This window comes from Homo sapiens, chromosome 4 (genome assembly GCF_000001405.40).
Source record: "Homo sapiens chromosome 4, GRCh38.p14 Primary Assembly".
In the NCBI taxonomy this organism is placed as follows: Eukaryota; Metazoa; Chordata; class Mammalia; order Primates; family Hominidae; genus Homo; species Homo sapiens.
Window position 1 is genome coordinate 9,987,826 of NC_000004.12, and position 18,077 is coordinate 10,005,902.

Below are 18,077 nucleotides of genomic sequence, written 5' to 3' on the forward strand. Positions count from 1 at the left end.
TTGAAAAAAAAAGAAAAGAAAAAGAAAGAAAGAAACATCAGTGAGGCCAGCCTGGCTGGAGGCAGTAGGGAGCCAGGGAGCAAGCAGTAGAAAGTGAAAGTTGAGAAGAGAAAAGAAGAACTCAGAGAGTCTTCTATGCCACCATAAGAACTAGCGTTTCCCCCCTGGGGGAGATAGCAGCCACTGGGAGATTCCAAGGAGAGGAATGACACCGGCTAATACTTGAACAAGATCACTACATCTTGTCTTCTCTGTTGCTCCTGGACTGCAGGGGACAAGTGTGAAAGCAGGGAGACCAGCTGGGGAGCTACCACAACAGGTGAGTCAACCACTGGTAATGATTTGGACCAGGCTGGGAGCAGTGCACTTAGTGAGAAGTGGTCAGATCCTAGCATATTTTGAAGAGTGAGTTGGTGGGATTTGCTGATGGACTGGACAGAGGTGGAGAGGCATAGAGGAGCCAAGGATGCCTCCAAAAGCTTTGGTCTGAACCCTTACTTTGGACATGATGGTGTATTTTGTGCTAATTTTAAAACTGCATGAAAGGTTTGTGAGAATGTTAAAATTATATGAAAGTCTGACTTGAAACATGTGCAAACGGGAGTGCACACTCTCTGGGCAAGTTTATCATATTAATATATTCCTTCCCAAAATAACCCTCAGCCTGACAGCATTGCAGTGAGGATGGAAATGTGTGCAAATCCTTTGCAAAGCTGACTCACTGGGCTTCAGAGCAGGACTTTAATCATTGTTTCCATTTGTTTCCTGTGGATGAACAGCAACATAAACAAGGGAGATCAATTCTGAAAGCAGAACTCCAGTGTCCCCAGAACTCCACCTAGGATGCCTGATTCATTGTTTTTAGCTTCTCCAATAGTGTAGAATCTTCCCCATGAAACCCAGAAAGTCATCAGCTCTCAAGGGGAAAAAAAGACCAAATACAAGGAAGCATGGTAGGGTGATGAGGAGATTGGAGGGCATGTCCCTTCAGAAGTGTCAAAGGGGCTGGAGACATTTCGCCTGGACAAGAGGTCAGAGAAAGCAGGAGAGCCACCTTCCTTCATGCCATGCTTTAACTTGGTGCAGAGCACCAGGACGGATTGGGGGAAGACATAGGGAATTCTATTTCAGTTTGAATTTGGAAAGTACTTTTCATTAAACCCTAGTAGACCAGAGAACCTATGGAAATAATGTATCTCTCCACAGACCTTTCCAGTAAATCTTCAGCCTGACTGGGCCTATAAGCCAAGATCATGCCTTGTTTCCACATCCCTCACCCTCCTCGTGTTCATCCGTTCCTGCATACCCAGCTTGAATTCCTTGGCTCATCCCTTTAAATATTTATATGCCCATCCACCCCCTTTCATTACATATGCCTGGCAAAACCCCAGCTGGTTAAATCTCTGTCTACTGGGCATCTACAAAGCTCAGCTTGGCTGGAGAAAAACATATGGCTGTGTTGTCCTTTCTCACCTGAAATTCATGACCACCAACCTCAAGAAGGGTTAAGGCTCCCCTGCACTGAGTCTACAGATTCCTGGTCCATCCAACACCCTTCTCTCCTAGAGGACTATTTCATATGTTTTCTCTCTCTCTTCAAATCCCCTTTTTATCATTCTCAGCTGATGACCATGCTTTCTTTTTCACTGAGAACACAGAGGCAATCCCAAGAGACCCTTCCCACATGCCCTCTGCTTGTATTTCTGCACCTGCATCTGTGCCCAGACACCTGCCTTCCCTTGTTTTCCAACCCTGGTGCAAACCATGTCCTCTCTCACCTGCGCTATTGCAAGGTTCTCCCAACCAGGCTCTGAGACCCCCTGATAACAGCACACCTTTCCAAATGCAAGTCAGATCAGTTCTTAAAACGTTCCACTGACTTCCCATTTTGCTCAGAGGAAGAGTCTCAACCCTCGCCTGCAAAGTCCTCAGGATCTGACTCCAAATATCCCATCTAGCTTCCTATGATTATCTCTACACTGACCTCCACTCTCATCTTCAAAGAAGTGGAGCCTCTTCTTGCCCCTGGGCTTTTGCACCTGCTGCCTCCTCTGCTTGGAGAGCTATTTCCCAGGGATGAGCGTGCTCACTCCCTTGCTTCCTTCAGTGCTCCCTGCACAAGTCACCATTTTAGAGAATCCTCTGAACAAAGTGGTGAGCTCTTCACCCTCCCCAGCATCTTCTGACCTCCTTGAGCTGCTCTGTTTTCTACATTGGTCCTTGTCACAGGCCGAATGGCACAGTCTGCATGCTTGTTACTTGGCTGTGCTCCCCGCTTGGCTGCATGCTTCAGGAGGACAGGGACTTTGGCAGCTTTGCTCATGCCTGAGTGCTTGGCACATAGAAAGTACTCAACAGATATGTGGTGAGTAAATAATCGGATGAGGGAACGGAAAGTGTGCAAGCATACAAGGATGCTTAGATGCAAGCAAGGATGGCCACACTGGGGAGATGTGATAGAAAAATTCAAGCATCGAGCATTTTCCACCCATCCTTCCATTTATCCAACAAATGTCTACTGCTTGCCTGCTGTGTACAAGCTGCTGTGTTGGGTGCTAGGGGCCATAAATACATATGGTTCTTACGTTGAAGGGCTCCCTTATCAGGGAAGAGACGGGAACATAATGAAATGAGTACAACCCAAAATGCCAAGTGACGTAACACAGGGAACTGAAAGTCCTGTGTGAGCTCAGAGAAGGCCAATATTTAGTTCTGGTAGATATGTCCTAGGCAGTGGGGGATGGGGTTGAAGATTTCTTATGATTTCTAACCCTGCTTTCCCGGCTCATGCGTCTGTAATACCAAAGGGGTTGTGTCCATAATAAAACAAACCAGTGATGCAGGGACAGCTTGTACCATTGAAGCCTCTTGTTTTGGATGTGTTGACTCTTTGTTTTACACTTTGGAACCCTGCCGTCCCGAAGTCTTCTGGTCTTATCTACCATGCCCAGGCTTTCTCCTTATGTCCCATCATGAACCCAAGTTTCCTTCTTCCAGAGTTCTTGCCATTCTCACTATGCTTAGAAGACTAGTCAAGTCTTCTAAGGCTGGGAGAAGCAGGGTTGAGGATCAGGTTTCCTGGCTGGCTGGTTATCTCCCTATCCCCTCAGGGATTCCCCCAGCTCAATGAATGCTGGCTTCTAAAGGCTCAGGGTTGACTCTTCTCCAGAAGATTGACATTGGCTCTGAAGGTGGATCCCCCTTTCCCAGTGCTGCCTGCAGCGAGTGACAGATGAGTGGTAGGGGTGGATGCAGCCCCCTTACTTCAAGTTGGGTGACTCTGTGGTGTGATTATGCCCCAGAGCTCCCCCAAGTGAGGCTAAACTTGACCAGGGAGTGCAGCCTTGCCTGGCTCCTTCCCCTGCTGCTTTCTGCTTTCCCCACCTTAAAGATTACTCCTGAAGAGCCCTTCCTCCACAAGCCATGTGTGCATCCCAATCCCTGCCTCAGGCTCTGCTTCTGGGCAATTGACTTTCTGAGACAATTCCAGCCTGAAAGAAGAGGTTGTCAGCAGCACGGTGTGTTGCTCAGTCATGGACTAAACTATGTTCCTGCCCCCTGGTTGAGAACCCTTGAACGCATGTAACCTCGCTCGGGCCAAGGAGATTCATGCCTGGGACTTTAACTACAATGATTGGAAGGAGAATTTCCATCAAGCTGGGGCCATCTTGCACCTCCACAGAAGAAACTGCCTGACAATGAAGCCAACAAAAAACAAGCTGAGCTGAGAGGTGGAGAAAGAGAGAGATTTGGATTTTTTTAAGGCTCACCTGTTAAAGCCCTAACCCCTAATGTGACTGCATTTGGGGACAGGGCCTTTAAAGAGATAATTAAACTAAAATGAGGTCACAAGGAAGCGGCCCTAATGTGGGATGATTGGTGTCCTTGTAAGAAGAGGAAGGGACACCAGGGATGCACACACACAGGGAGCACACAGCGAGAAAGCAGCCATCTGCAAGCCATGGAGAGAAGCCTCGGGAGGAAAAGACCTGCCGACACTTTGATCTTGGCCTTCCAGCCTCCAGAACTGTGAGAAAATGAATGTCTGTTTGCTGAAGCCACTCCATCTGTGGTATTCTGATATGGCAGCCTGGGCTAACCAATGCATGCTTGCCACATACACTGAAGGCTCCTCCAGCAGGCACCTAGAGAGACACAGTTATTTTCTACTACTATAAAATACAGATGCCTTTTAAAGGGTTGAAGTAGAAAATGATGAAAGCAAAAATAGTCCTTTTGACAACCTGCTATTTCCCTGGAGTGATGTATGGGATGCCTGTTGTTTGTGCTCACCGAACCTCCATCCTTCTTCTGGGAGGAGTTCCTCAAATTTCCACCAAGAAACCTTCCTGCCTGTCTCCACCTAACCATGGCTTCAGGAGTGGATGCGTGGTACAGGCCTGGCCAGTCAACATAAAATCACTCATCATTCTCAAGGCATTTAAGATGTGCTTTTTTAAAAGCACTTAATCCAGAGTGTTAGAATGTTATTTGCCAGGATTTTCTAACCTTGGCACTATTCACATTTGGAACTGGAAAATTCTTTGCTGTGGGGGTTGTCCCGTGCATTGTAGGATATTTAGAGGCATCCCTGGCTTCTCCTAGATGCTAGTAGCACCCTTGAGTTATGAAAACCAGAAACATCTCCTGGCATTGTCAAATGTCCCCTGATGAGGCAACATTGCCCTCTGGTTGAGAACCCTTGAACGCATGCAACCTCGCTCAAGTCAAAGAGATTCATGCCTGGGACTTTAATCACAACTATCGGAAGGAGAATTTCCACCAAGCTGGGCCCATCTTATACCTCCATGGGAGAGATTGCCTGACAATGGAGCCAACACAAAGCAAGGTGAGCTGAGAGGTGGAGACAGATTTGGATTTTTTAAAAGCTATCATCTGAGCCACTGGATTCAACCAAGTTATATTTTAGTTATTGTGAGCCAAGTAATTCCCTTTTGGGCTTCAGCCAGTTTGCTTTGGGTTCCTGTCACAGGCATTCAAAAAGCCTCCTTAGTGACATGAGACACTGTAAATTTGATCTCGTTCCACCCTCATAGCTGCTCCCTCAGGTGGGTTTGTTTATCTGCACTTTACAGATTTAAAAATTAAAGGGCATAGCAGCTGCCTCTTGTATCTCTACCATCCATGCACAGCACTGCTCAGAATCATAAAGACTTACATAATGAATTACTCAGGGGCTGCCTCCTTTGCCCAAGCATCACCTTAAGCCCCAGATGTTGTGTCTTTCTTGTTCACTGAAGCCCCAGTGCCAAAAACAGTACCTTACTCCTTGTAGGTGCTCAAAAATGTTTGTTTGGATAGATGAATATGGTTACGTGGCTTGTCCAAGAGTCTGGCCCAGGATCAGATTTCAAAGCCCATGTGTGTTTTCCTATAGTTTCTTATATGTTTTTTCTGCTTTGCTCCAGACGGAAGAACCAGATCCAATGATATGTGTAAGAAGAATAATTTCAGTGCAATTGAAAGAACAGATGCACAATTGACTCTGTCAAGTGATGGAATGACCCGTCTCAAATAAAGCCAATGAGGTTGGTGATGGTGAAGATGATGATGATGTTGATGATGATGACACTAGTGAACAAAGGCTGGGCGAAGAGTCTGGGTCAATTGTAGGGATGAACACTTCACATCCACCATTTCATTTAATCTTCACAACAACCCTCTGACATGGCCATTCTTTATCTTCATGTCATCGTGAACTAAGTAAAGATGAAAGAGTTTAAGAAACACATAGCTGTGTGTATCGGAGCCCAGACTTGAAGCTGGGCCCGTAGCTAGTGTTTGTACACCAAACATAGTCACTGTCCTGTCTCATGAGGGAAGGAGGGTCCTGTCACTATGGTCATGCAAGCAGAGGACAGAGGATGCTAAATGGGTCACTGAGCTTCAACCAGAATTCTTGATCGCTGAGAATTCCCTCAGCCAGAGACTCCAAGAGGTGAGGAACCTGCATCTGTGTGAGGCCCAGGTCATGTGGTATGGCCCATCTCCAGAGACTCTTCCTGGCCCCCTTTGCTTCCCTGCCCTCCTTTGTCACCGAAATCACAAACGAGCTCAACATTCCCTAGCTAGGAACAGCCCCACTGCTGGAGCAGCCAGTGACCAGCCCCATCGGAACTCTTCCCCACTTCCCTGGAATGTCTCCCCCAGCTATACCTTTGAGCACCTTCCACTGGGCCTCCCAGGCTGCCATTGCAGTTTCCTCTCCCTCCCTGAGAATCCCCATGGGAGAGGAATAACAGAGCATCAGGAAGGCGTTTCAAATAGCATCATGTCACAGGAAGAGTGTTGGCCTGTGGTCAAACACATGCAGATCTGAACTTCAGTTCAACTCCATTTTGAAACCTTGGTCCAATTGACCACTGGGTCTTGGACTCATCATTTGAAAAGTGCAGGTAATGATGCAAACATGGAGTTTTAAGAAGTAAATGATATATGGGATGTCAAGGACAAGGCAGGAGGTCAATAGATGGTAGCTTTCTTTTTCAATTTTTGCTCCTTTTCTCCCCAGCAGAGTTGCTCTTCAAGCTGAAACTTCAGCCCAAATCAACTTTTACTCTCATAATGATGAAAAGGAAACTGGCAGCTGCTTGGGGCATAACAACCAACACATCCTTTGATCTGATCTTTTTCTGCATCCTCACTTCTTTATGACTCCTCCATTACTTAGAGATTGAAGGTATTTTCAAAGTTGTTTTCTCTTTTGCTTTCCTTTTCCTTTTTTTTTTTTTTTTTTGTTGCCATGCCAGTGAGGGTAGTAAAGCTACTTTCATTGCCCTCATTTTATAGGTAAGAATAATGCTGGCTGAGAAGTGAGGTGTCAAAGTCCCTTGTAACACACCTGATACACAGCAGAGTCAGGACTTGCTGAGCCACGGCATTCTGACCCGATTCTAGTGTTCCTTTTCCTATTCCATCTGCATGGGTTCAGAGCCTCCTTGAGGAGCAGCCTTGGGGTATAAATGCCACGGTCAGGTATAAAGCAAGGAGACATCACAGGCCAGATCCTGGGGCATGGGGAGTGACTCCATCCCACTAGGACAAGCAAGAGGACCATGGGCAGGGTCTGGCTTGGGCAGGAGGCTTAGTGACCATGCCTCAGGGACCCTGGCCAGTGATGCCAATCTGAGTGCCAGCCTGTTGTCAAACAGTCATGGTTTTACAGTACATTCCCAGCATTGGGAATTGGCCCCTAACTAAGATCTGCTTGGCATAGTGGAAAGATCATGATTCCAGCCTAAGCTCAGCCACAGTGCAAGCTAGCTAAGCTTGTGCAGATGCCCTCACCTCTCTAACCTCCCATTCCCCATCTACAGACCCCACAGCAGATAGAAAATTAAACAAGAGAATGTGTGAGTGGCTGGAACCTTGAAGGACCTCAGACAATGGCATCTCTCACTACATCATGCAGTAGTTGTATTTCCAGGCCCTGAATTCCCATTAATTACTGCTCTGAAAGTGGGCTTGGGGACAAGGAAAATGTCAGCACCTCCCCTACCTCACAGGTATCACAGACCCTCATAAGCACCACTTGGATGTTTTCAGGGTGGCTTCCTGTCCCATCTTTTAGAAATCTTGCTTTGAAACATCGTCAACTCTAGTTTTCTCCTTGTTGGGCTGTGAGGAAGAATGTAAAGGATTCGGTCATTTCAGATTGTGAAATGGGCTCCTTCTTAATCGGGTTTCTGTAATCCCATGGTCTGAGGAGATTTTCTGGAGTCTGATAAATCTCCTCTTCAACTCACGTCAATGCAATAAGGAGGTTAGTCGAGTACTTACTAGGTAGTGATGTCAAGGTGATGATGAGGGAAATGCCAAATAATGTGGTCAATGACAAGAATTTTTATTTATTCAGCTACAACTCATGGCCATTCTCCTTCCATTCATTTGGTCTAACTCTTGTAACATTCCCTGCAGGTAGAAACTATCATCCCTATTTTACAGATAAGAAAATTGAGGCTCAAATAAATTAAATGATTTGGCCAAGGGCACACAGCTAGTAAGTGGAAGACACATGATTCAAGTTAAGACACGAATGTTCTGGCCCCATCAGATTGATGTGACGACTCCTCCATCACTTGGAGAAGCTCTACTCTTTCCACACACTGCTCACTGGCTCCCAGGATGCTGTTGTTATGAACAAGAATACAGAGAAAGCATTGTTTGTGGGGATTCATTGATAAGTCAATCTGCTCTGAGAGAAGGATTCCTGTCTAAAATAAGTGAGGAATGAGGCTCACAAGGTCAAGTGAGCTGATTGGAGAGGGCCTGGGTAGGAAAGGCTGATATGAAGTTTTTGATTCTCACTGCTTCCTTATTTGTAATGTAAATGATCTGAAATGACCTAAATGTCTCTCAGTCAGGGAGTGTGGCTAAATAAATGATGAGACAGCCATATAGTGGAAGACTGTCTAAGCAGTCAATTTTCTGGAAAAGCAGATCTGTATGTACTTACGTGGAACAATTTCCAAGGCACTGCACTGTGTTTTCCATTTGCCCCAACACCCAGATCAATTCCCCTCCCCTCCCTGCTCTGCTCTATGCCCCGGGAGCATCTCCTGGATGGCAACATGACTTCCTGGTTTACTGGCTTTCACATGGGTGTGACCAGTGTGCACCTCTGCAGCAGGATGGAGGGTGGGAGGAGGGAGGGGTCAGGGCATTTCTTCCCTGCTCCTCCCCCATGTGGGTGCTGTGGCTCTGACACAGCCCAGTCCCTATACGCTTCTGCTGCTGCTCATCAGCCTGCAGTCCATGGCTTCAGTTATCTTTGGACCTTGGTCTCTGATTTCTTCCCCTTTCCCCTTTGGGCATTTGAATCTCTCCAGTTGAACTGCCTGAGTGGAGTTCTGTTGCCTGTCAGGACCCTGACAATGACACAGATATATTATGAACATGGAGGGCACCCCCAGATAGAGACAGCCTCCTACTGACCTCCCAAGAACCTTTCCAATCATCTTCACAATTAACGTCCCCACAAGTCCACCGATGGCGAATATGGACACAGTCACAGACCAGAGCAAAGTCAGAGTGTCTGGGTCTATTGGACGTCCATGCCTTCTTTCCCATGACTCATTGTAAAAGGCCTTGATGTACTGAAAATAAACAACAAACCATGTTATTTCCTTCTGTTCTCTCCTGCTGCTTGAAGCAAGCCAGTGTACAAAACAAAACAGCTTGTACAGAGCATTTTCATGCATAGCACTTTGCTAATTTGTTTGAGCTTTATCTCATTGGCCTCTTCTAACAAATTTTGGGAAGAGCAGAAGATGTTAATCTTTATTATATTCAAATGAGCATTTTTTTTCTTTTATGGCTAGTTTTTTTGTGTTTCTTGCATCTTTGCCTATCCCAAGGTACTTTTTTTGTAACAAAATGTTTCCTCTTTTTACCTCATTTTGGAGATAGGGAAACTGAGGCTCAGGGAGACAAAGTGACTTGCTAGGTAAGTGCTAAACCTGGGAGCTGGACTCAGATCTGACCCCAAGCTTATGATGAGCTTCATAGCTGGGCTTCTCCAATTCTAGTGCACCGCAGCATTGCTGTGGAGGTGTGTTAAAGGGCACATACCGGGTGGGCGCAGAGGCCCACACCTGTAATCCCAGCACTCTGGGAGGCTGAGATGGGTGGGTCACTTGAGGCCAGGAGTTCGAGATCAGTCTGGCCAAGATGGTGAAACCCTGTCTCTACTAAAAATACAAAAATTTGCCAGGTGTGGTGGCATGCACCTGTAATCCCAGCTACTCAGGAGGCTGAGGCATGAGAATCTCTTGGACCCAGGAGACGGAGGTTGCAGTGAGCCAAGATTGCGCCATTGCACTCCAGCCTGGGTGACAGAGTGACACCCTGTCTCAAAAGAAAAGTGGGGGGGCACATACCTAACAAAAAAAAAATAGGCAAAAATGCAACACACACAAAAAAACTAGCCATAAAAGAAAAAAAAATGCTCATTTGAATATAATCAAGATTAACATCTTCTGCTCTTCCAAAGACGTCATTCAGAAATGAAAAGACAACCCATAGACTGAGATAACATATTTGCAACACATAGAACTACAAATAAATCCTATCTACGATATACAAAGAACTCTAACATGTCAAAAAGGAGGCAAATGATACAATTAAAAATGAGCAAAAATTTGAACAGACTCCAGAGAAAATACAAATGACTGGTATGCTAATGACAGAATGCCTGACATCATTAGTCAACAGAGAAATGAGACCACAAGGAAATACAACTTCACATTCACTAGAGTCTCATCGCTGCCAATTCTGATTCAGTGTGTTTGGGACAGGGACTAGGTGATTCTGATGTACACCAAAGACTGAGGTCCATGGCACTAAGCTCCAAACAGAGTTCAGTCCCCAAGGTACTTAGAGTTCCCTGTTGCTACCCAACGTGAGCCCGCAAACCTCAGCTGAGCCAGTATATGACACTGCAGAAAAAGCTTAGGTTCAGGTCGCTCAGACCTGGGCTCAAATCCCAGCACAACTTGGTAATGATTTAAATCAGCTGAACCTTGGTTTTCTTATCTGCAAAATGGGAATGATGACATTGACCTCTCAGGGCTGTTGTGAGGGTCAAATGAGAGCTTGAAGCAGTGGCCAGTACTTGAATGGAGCTTACACAATCCCACATAGACTAAAAATTAAAAGATCTGGTAAGACTGAGGAGTGACAAGCAGTGTGTTGTCTGCTGGTAGGAGTTTGACTTGTACAGCCATCTTGGAAAACAGCTTTGGCATCAGCTAGTCAAATGGAAGATGCCTGTAGCCTACAACTCAGCAAATCTACTTCTAGAAAACTCCCCTGAAAAACTGTTTCTGGGGAGCCCTAGGATATATGTACTCAGATGTCCATGGCAGCATTGCACATAATAACTCCAGACGAGAAACAGCCCAGGTGCCCATGGTCGATAGCAGGAATAAACAAATTGCAGAATCATCATCATATGAAACATCACAGCCACAAACATGAATGAATACAGCTCTGTCCAAACACACATGGGAAAACCTGGCAAAAATAACACCAACCAAAAGCAGCCAAAAACAAAACATACACAGTCTGATTCCATGTGTAAAACCCAAAAGTATGCCAAATTAAAATTTTTTGGAGAATTATATATAGACGGTAAAACTACAAAGAAAGAATTATTTCAAATGTCAGGTCAGGGGTCATCTCGGGGGATGACAGAAGAAATAACTGGGGAGGGACACTTGGTAGGTCCTTCTTTTTTTTTTTTTCAGGCTGGAGTGCAGTGGCATGATCACAGCTCACTGCAGATTTGATCCCCTGGGGTCAGGAGGTCCTGGTACTTCAGCCTCCCGAGTAGCTGAGACAGACGACTACAGGTATGTGCCACTATGCCTGGATAAATTTTTTTTGTTTGTTTCTTGTACAAAGGAGGTCTCGCCATGTTCCCCAAGGCTGGTCTCAAACTCCTGGGCTCATGCGATCCTCCCGCTGCAGCCTCCCCAGACCTTTTATTCTTAACCTGGATTGTGACATGAGTGTTAGATTTATACTCAGTCTTTAAAGTGTGTGTGTGTGTGTACGGGCACACAAGCATAATGCATATGTGTGTATTTTATATACTCTTTTGTATGCATAATACATGCTGCCATTTAACATGGAAAAGAAAAATGGTAGGAAAGTGTTCCAGGCAGAGGGAGAATTATGCCAAGACAGCAGGACAGAAGAAAGCTTGGGTGGCCATGGAATTGCAAGGAGGCCAATAGGGGAGGAACAGGACCAGAAAGGGAAGGAGTGGGCTGGATGAAGTTGGAGGGGCAAGAAAGGGCAGGTCATGTGGGCCTGATAGGTCATGGAAGTTAGCCTGGTTTTTACTTGGATTCTACTCTAGATGAAGTGGGAAAGTATTGGAGGGTTTTTGGCAGGGGGAGGACATGGTGTGGCTTGCATTTTCAGAGGATCCCTCTGGCAAGTGGATGAAAGAGGAGCTAGACAGGAAGCCAGGCACACTTGGGGGGCACTGCAGTGGTCCAAAGATCATGGTGGACTTCACTAAGCAATGGAAATGGACAGAAGTGGATGGATTTAAGATATATTTTGAGAGTAGAATAGGTAGGACTTCCTGGGTGATTGGCTCCAGGTTTGAGAACAGATGGTGTTGCAGAAAGTGAAAGAAGATCACAGAAAACTCCCAGATTTCAGACATAAGCAAATGGTCTGATGGAAGGAAATGAGGTGAGGAGGGGAGACACCCTCTGCTTGCGAGGTATTTATCTTCTTTCTGTTTTCTCTTTCTTTCTGGATTCACAACTATCTTACTCATAGCACGGAGTGAGGATAGAATATATTATCAATAGCTACAGCTATTTCTATCGATGATGAAGTTTCCAGACCTCAGTGCACAAGATACTGATCTACGTCATCCACTGACTCATTCAACAAACATGTGCTGAGTACTGGGCCCTGAGCTAGACACAGAGATAAATGGAACATAACCCTGGATCTCAAAGATCTTCCATCCACTGGAGCTGATAATGCATTGTATCATTTAAGGATGCTCTTGGCTGCAAGTAACAGGAAACCTCAACTCAAAATAGCTGAACAATGAGGACACCTACAGAAATGCAAATTTACAGGAGTGGTGAGCTTCAAGGATGGCCCATCTGGTGACTCAGTAATGGCCAAGAATCCAGGTGCCATCTGGTTGCTTCACTCTGCTTTCCATAATTTTGACCTCATCCTAAGACAGCATGCACTCACAATTGCAGGATGGCTCCTAGTAGCAGTTTTGGCTACATGCTTTTCTATTCATGCATGACTGGAGAGAGTAAGCTTGGCCTCTCATAGGTCTCTTGGTGCTAAGAGGAACTTTCCCGGAAGCTTCTAACAAACTTCTCTTTATGTCCTGCTGGACATAGTTGGGGCACAGATCCCTTACTAAACCAGTGTGGAATGGGACCCATCAGCCTGTACCTCTGCCCCTGAATTCCTTTCCTTTATCTGTTCCTCCCTACGTGAGTGAATGGGACCACCATTCTCCAGTTGCTCAGCCAAAAACCACGAAGTCATTCTTAACTCCTGCCCTTGATCCAATCTCCTCAACTAATCCACCCTCACTCATCCCTGACTGTTAGGGTTGAATTGTATCTAACCTCACACCTCCAGATTTATATACTAAAGTCCTAACTCCCCAAACCTCAGAATGGGTCCTTATTTGAAATGTGGTCATTGCAGATATAATTAATTAAGAAGAGGTCATATTGGAGTAAGGCCCACTCTACTCCAATATGACTGGTGTCCTTTATAGAAAGAGGACACAAAGACAGACACGGGTACAGAGTGAATTTTGTTCCCCTCCAAACTTCATATGTTGAAGTCCTAACCCCTAGTACCTCAGAATGTGACCTTATTTGGAGACAATCTTTACAAAGCAAATAACATTAAAATGAGGTCACTAGAGTGGGCCCTAATCCAACGTGACTGGTACCCTGATAAAAAGGGGAAATGTGGAGATAGACAGGCACAGGAGGAAGATGATGTAAACAGGCATGGGGAGAAGATGGCCATCTGTGAGCCAGAGAGAGAAGGCTGGAACTGAGCCTTCCTTCAAAGCCCTCAGAAGGAATCCACTCTGCCAACACCTTGATCTTGGACTTCTGACCTCTAGAACTATGGAATAACACATTTCAGTTCTTTCAGTCACTCAGTCCGTGGTACTTTGTTACAGCAGCTCTAGAAAAGTAATATATTGCCTAGCTTCCAAAAGGCTTCTCACCACTTCCACCATTCCACCACTCAACCGGTCCAAACTGCCATCCCCTCACTGGGGCTACCAGGACACTGATTCCTGAGCCTTCATCAGGGTGCTACCAGCAGCCTTCAGAATGGCCACTATGTTCTTTCTTAGTGGCTGGACATTTACCTGACATTGACCATTTAGTCAATGTCAAGGCTTTATGTCCTCTATTGGACATTTATCTGCCTTTTAGGCTCCCCAGCATCAGAAGCCCTCTTCCCGCCTGGGAGACTTTCCTGCCTCAGAATCCTGAGTGGGGAAACAAAGGACACATAACTACAGAAGCCAAACATGCCAGACACCCGCTCTCCCAGCATCCTCTGCAGCTGGAAGTGGACATGTGACCAAGGCTCAGCCAATCAGATGCTGGAACTTTGATCAAGGTGTTACTGGGGCTAAGACATGGGGCTGAGGAGGATTCTCCAGCAGCAGAGGGAGCTCTGGTGGGATTGGGTTTGGGGGCAGCAGCAGGGGAGCTGCAATGTCCTGTGCCAGCGGTGCAGTCAATGGCAGTGGTGGCTGCAGCGGAGCCCATAGGACCAGCTCTGGGAGTGATTTAGGGTAGTATCTCCAGCTACAGAGCTTCCAGGCCTGGCTCTCCAGCCCTCCCACTGATCCTGTGAGCAACCCACTCTTTTCAACAACTTTTTTGGCTTTAGTTGTTCCTTACAACTATGGAAATACAGAAACTCTAGCAAAGCACATAAATAATCTCACTTCACCCTCACGACAACCCTAGTGGTAAAAGCCCTCATTTACAAACAAGGGGCCTGAGAGTTATATAACCTGCCCACAGTCACGGCTTATATGCACTGGGAGGCTTTTGTGGTGGAGCTGCCAAACTTCAGGGCACAAATACAACTGCTCCACAAACTGAACTCTTGAACTTATGATTAAGATGTGAAAGTTAAGCAGATAAACCTAATGGTGCATTTATTGATTTAAGAGTAAATATTGGCTGGGTGCAGTGGCTCATGCCTGTAATTCCAACACTTTGGGAGGCCAAGGCAGGCAGATCACCTGAGGTTAGGAGTTTGAGACTAGCCTGGCCAACATGGTGAAACCCCATCTCTACTAAAAATAGAAAAATTAGCTGGGTGTGGTGGTGCACGCCTCTAGTCCCAGCTACTCTGGAGGCTGAGGCTGGGGAATATCTTGAACCCTGGAGGCAGAGGTTGCAGGGAGCCAAGATTGCGCCACTGCACTCCAGCCTGGGGGACTGAGCGAGACTCCATCTAAAACAAAAAAAAAGAGTAAATATCAACTATATCAACTAAGCCTTTGCTTGGGCTGGATACTCCGTCAGACCGTGGTGAATACAGCAGCAACCACCCCCAAGGAGCACAGAGTCTAGTGGGAGAAACAGTGATGATTGCTAAGCGCAAGGATTAGAGGGGCCACAGCAAGACAGGGGGTAGAGGCTGCCCCAGGAACTACTGCAAGTATGTACAGAGTAAAGACCCTTCAGAGAAGCTGGCATAAGTAATGAGTATCCAGGACTTCACAGACACCCCTCCTGCCACCTGATAAACAGGAGACCTCCACATGTGCAAGGTCACTCTTGCACGTGAACTTGCTCCCTATGGCACTCTTATAGTAATTCAAGCAATTGCAGCTGTCTTGCAAGGAGTCAGGCTAATACCCACCCTGGAAGGCCTCAGTAATGACTGGCTTCCTGGAATTAATGTAAGGAAATGAAAAGGATGCTGATTGGGAGGAAATTTTGTCTTTTCCTTTGTGTTGCACTGCATTCAGGAGCCTGGTGGGAAAAGAGAGGGTTTTCAGCTCACCCACTACCAAGCATTGCTTTGGGAGTCTGTGGAAGTTTCTTACTGTGACGTTGGGAAATGGCTGACAGAAGCCTCTATAGACTCTGGAGGGGCCAGAAGACTTGCTGCATAGCCTAGGCCCCCTGCAGGAACACTTTTCTCAAAAGTTCCCCGAAAGCTGTTTGCCCCAATGCTTTTGGCAACTGAACGTTTGTCTTCCAGGTCTGAATTCAGCAATAGCCCAGGTGAAAGGCCTTGTTACCACAAGGCTGAAGCCAGTGATGAAGTTTGCTCAGAGAATTCACTGCACTAACATTCCCCAAGCTTGAGATTTGTGAACCTCACCTATGGCAAAACATGACTGGTCATGCATGATACAGAATGGGTGCTTAAATAAGAATTCGTTTTGAGTTTCTGCTGTGTGGCAGTAACCATATAATAATAAAACAGGTAACCCACACATCATAGTTACAATATGCTCTGTACTATTCTAAGAACTGGAGGCATACTGACTCACTTCTTACCCTCCACAAGGGTACTATTTGTTACCTCTGTTTTGGGCAGATGTGGTATCTGAGCCACAGAGCCACAAGGGGCCCTCCCAAGCTCACACCATTGGCATGCGATGTCACCAGGACTCAGCCCCAGTGAGCAGGGATCCAGAGTCCATCTCTTAACCATTACTTTTTTCCAACTCTAAGTGTAGAAAATATAAAGATGATGATATCAATACCTCTGTTTTAGGGGAGAAGAGGAGACATGGAATGAAGATTGGTTGACTGCTAAGTATGTATCAGACATTTGGATATCTCATCTCATTCAACCCTTGTAGCCATCCTGAGAAGTTTCATTCACAACAGAGAAGTCTGGAGTGGAGAAACACATCCCACAGCCATGCCAAAGATGGTAGAACTGCAGGGCCTGCTAGACCTCACAGTGCTCTCCTCTTCCTGGACATACTGCCAGGCCACCTTACCCAGTTCCTTGCATCTAGGTGGGGCCATATGACTACTTCTCAAGCAAGGAGTGTAAGTACAAGGGACATGTGTGACCTCCACCAAGACGCTGAGAATGTGTTTGCCTGCTCCACGCTTGCTCCTGTCAGCTGGCCAGCCACAGAGGATCTAGCAGAGGACTCCAAAGTCCTAGAGAATGGTGGAACCACTTCACTTAAGGAACCTGGGTCCCTGAATGGCTTCATGGAGCAGAGTGTTCCTGCTCATCTCCTTCAAATGAGGTGATATAAATGGGAATTTTCACTGTGTTAAGCCACTGAGATACAGGGCTTGTTTATTACAGCAGCAAGTTTGCCCTGCTGACACAATCAACGTAACTACAGAGCCCATGCCATCACAATTGCACTGTGACCTGAGGCTTCAAGAAGGAGGAGAGATTTAGGCCAAGTCATGAAGGCTTGGAGATATAAACCTTTACCTAGAGCTTTCCTTTTATGTGTTGGGAGAACTCGATCCTGTTTGAAGAAAACAATCTGCAATAAAAATTTGCTTTAAGATCACTGTGGTAGGTAACCTCTAGGCCTGCTTTGGGACATCTCACTCATTCCTATCTTACTTGGGATTCCTTGTTTTACTTTTTCATTCAGCCAACAGCCACGAGGCACATTCTTGTATCTTTCTATCTGACTTTACAGGTCTGCTTCCTCACTACCAGGGGCCCAGCTTCCCATCCTTTCTTCTAGATACAAATTCTGCTGTTTCTTGCCTTCAAGGAGTTCAAGATCTAGTGGAGACAGTAGTCAAGTAAACATACAATTATAACATGGAATAAAAATGCCATGACAATAGGAAGCCAAGAAAGGCTGTGGAATCCAAGTCAAGCAAGCAAGAAGGGCAGACGGAGTGGGCTCAGTTACAGGACGACAGGCAGAGTTAACAGAATTCTTGAAGGTGCAGAAACCGGAGACCACAGGTTGCCACACAGGAGGTATAAAAGACGCAGTGGGTTGAAAGGTGGCCCAGTAGAAGGTTGGAGGCTGCCTGTACCTGGCTTTGCCTGCCAGCCTCAGGAGTCTACACAAAATTCCATGGGCACTGGGGAGCCATTGGAGGGTTTTAGCACGGAATTGATAGCTCTAATTTGTGGTTAAGAATGTTCTTCATAGGTGCAGTGTGAAGGACATTTCAGGGATTAGACTAGAGGATGCTAGGCCTGTTAGGAAGCTCCTGCAATTGGTATGAGATGATGAGTCTGATCAAAATTGTTATGAGTTGCTCCAGAAGCATTGATGTTACGGCTAGTACTAACTACAGCCTAAACTGCAAACAACTGAATAAAAGGCTACATGGTTAAAGCAAAGGAAGCTTAAGAAAGAGCCAAGAGTTCTGGATTTAACACTTGCTTGCATCACTGAGTCTTTCTGTGGCCTTGGGTGATCTTAAGCAATCTGTGTGCCTCTCTGGAAGTGCTGTCAATGTTAAAGGTAGTTGGAATTGGCTTTTTTCCACTCTCAGCTCTGCCACTTCTTTGCTGGGTGACCTTGAGTAAGTTACTTAACCTCT

General features: G+C 46.0%; 1 protein-coding gene and 1 long non-coding RNA gene across 29 annotated transcripts in view, besides 1 other annotated feature; one reads left to right on the plus strand and one right to left on the minus strand.

Moving 5' to 3' along the window:
• SLC2A9 (solute carrier family 2 member 9) overlaps positions 1-18,077 on the minus strand; it is a 269,246-nt gene that overhangs the window by 216,801 nt on the left and 34,368 nt on the right. For 19 of the 26 annotated variants that reach the window (XM_011513858.2, XM_047415973.1, XM_011513856.4 and 16 more), the window contains one exon: positions 8,956-9,116. The exons of 4 other annotated variants lie outside the window; for them this stretch is intronic. In XM_011513858.2, coding sequence (XP_011512160.1) covers positions 8,956-9,116 — 161 coding nt within the window. Of the gene's footprint in view, positions 1-5,179; positions 5,432-8,955; positions 9,117-18,077 lie in introns of those variants that run through there. 3 more of the 26 variants (XM_017008459.2, XM_011513864.3, XM_047415978.1) reach the window with 3 other exon arrangements.
• Positions 298-17,074, plus strand: SLC2A9-AS1 (SLC2A9 antisense RNA 1). Of its 3 annotated transcripts, none has more exons than NR_183861.1 (5): positions 298-319; positions 5,430-5,549; positions 6,536-6,700; positions 11,268-11,372; positions 16,303-17,074. It is a non-coding gene; the product is annotated as an SLC2A9 antisense RNA 1 (long non-coding RNA). The 3 variants fall into 3 exon arrangements; NR_183864.1 differs by lacking the exon at positions 16,303-17,074 and adding an exon at positions 12,319-13,193; NR_183862.1 differs by lacking the exon at positions 6,536-6,700.
• Positions 16,310-16,469: an enhancer, noted in NCBI's record as "active region_21304". NCBI's record gives its function as "activates an Ori minimal core promoter by ATAC-STARR-seq in GM12878 lymphoblastoid cells {active_cell/tissue: GM12878}" and the evidence as "EXISTENCE:reporter gene assay evidence [ECO:0000049][PMID:35858748]".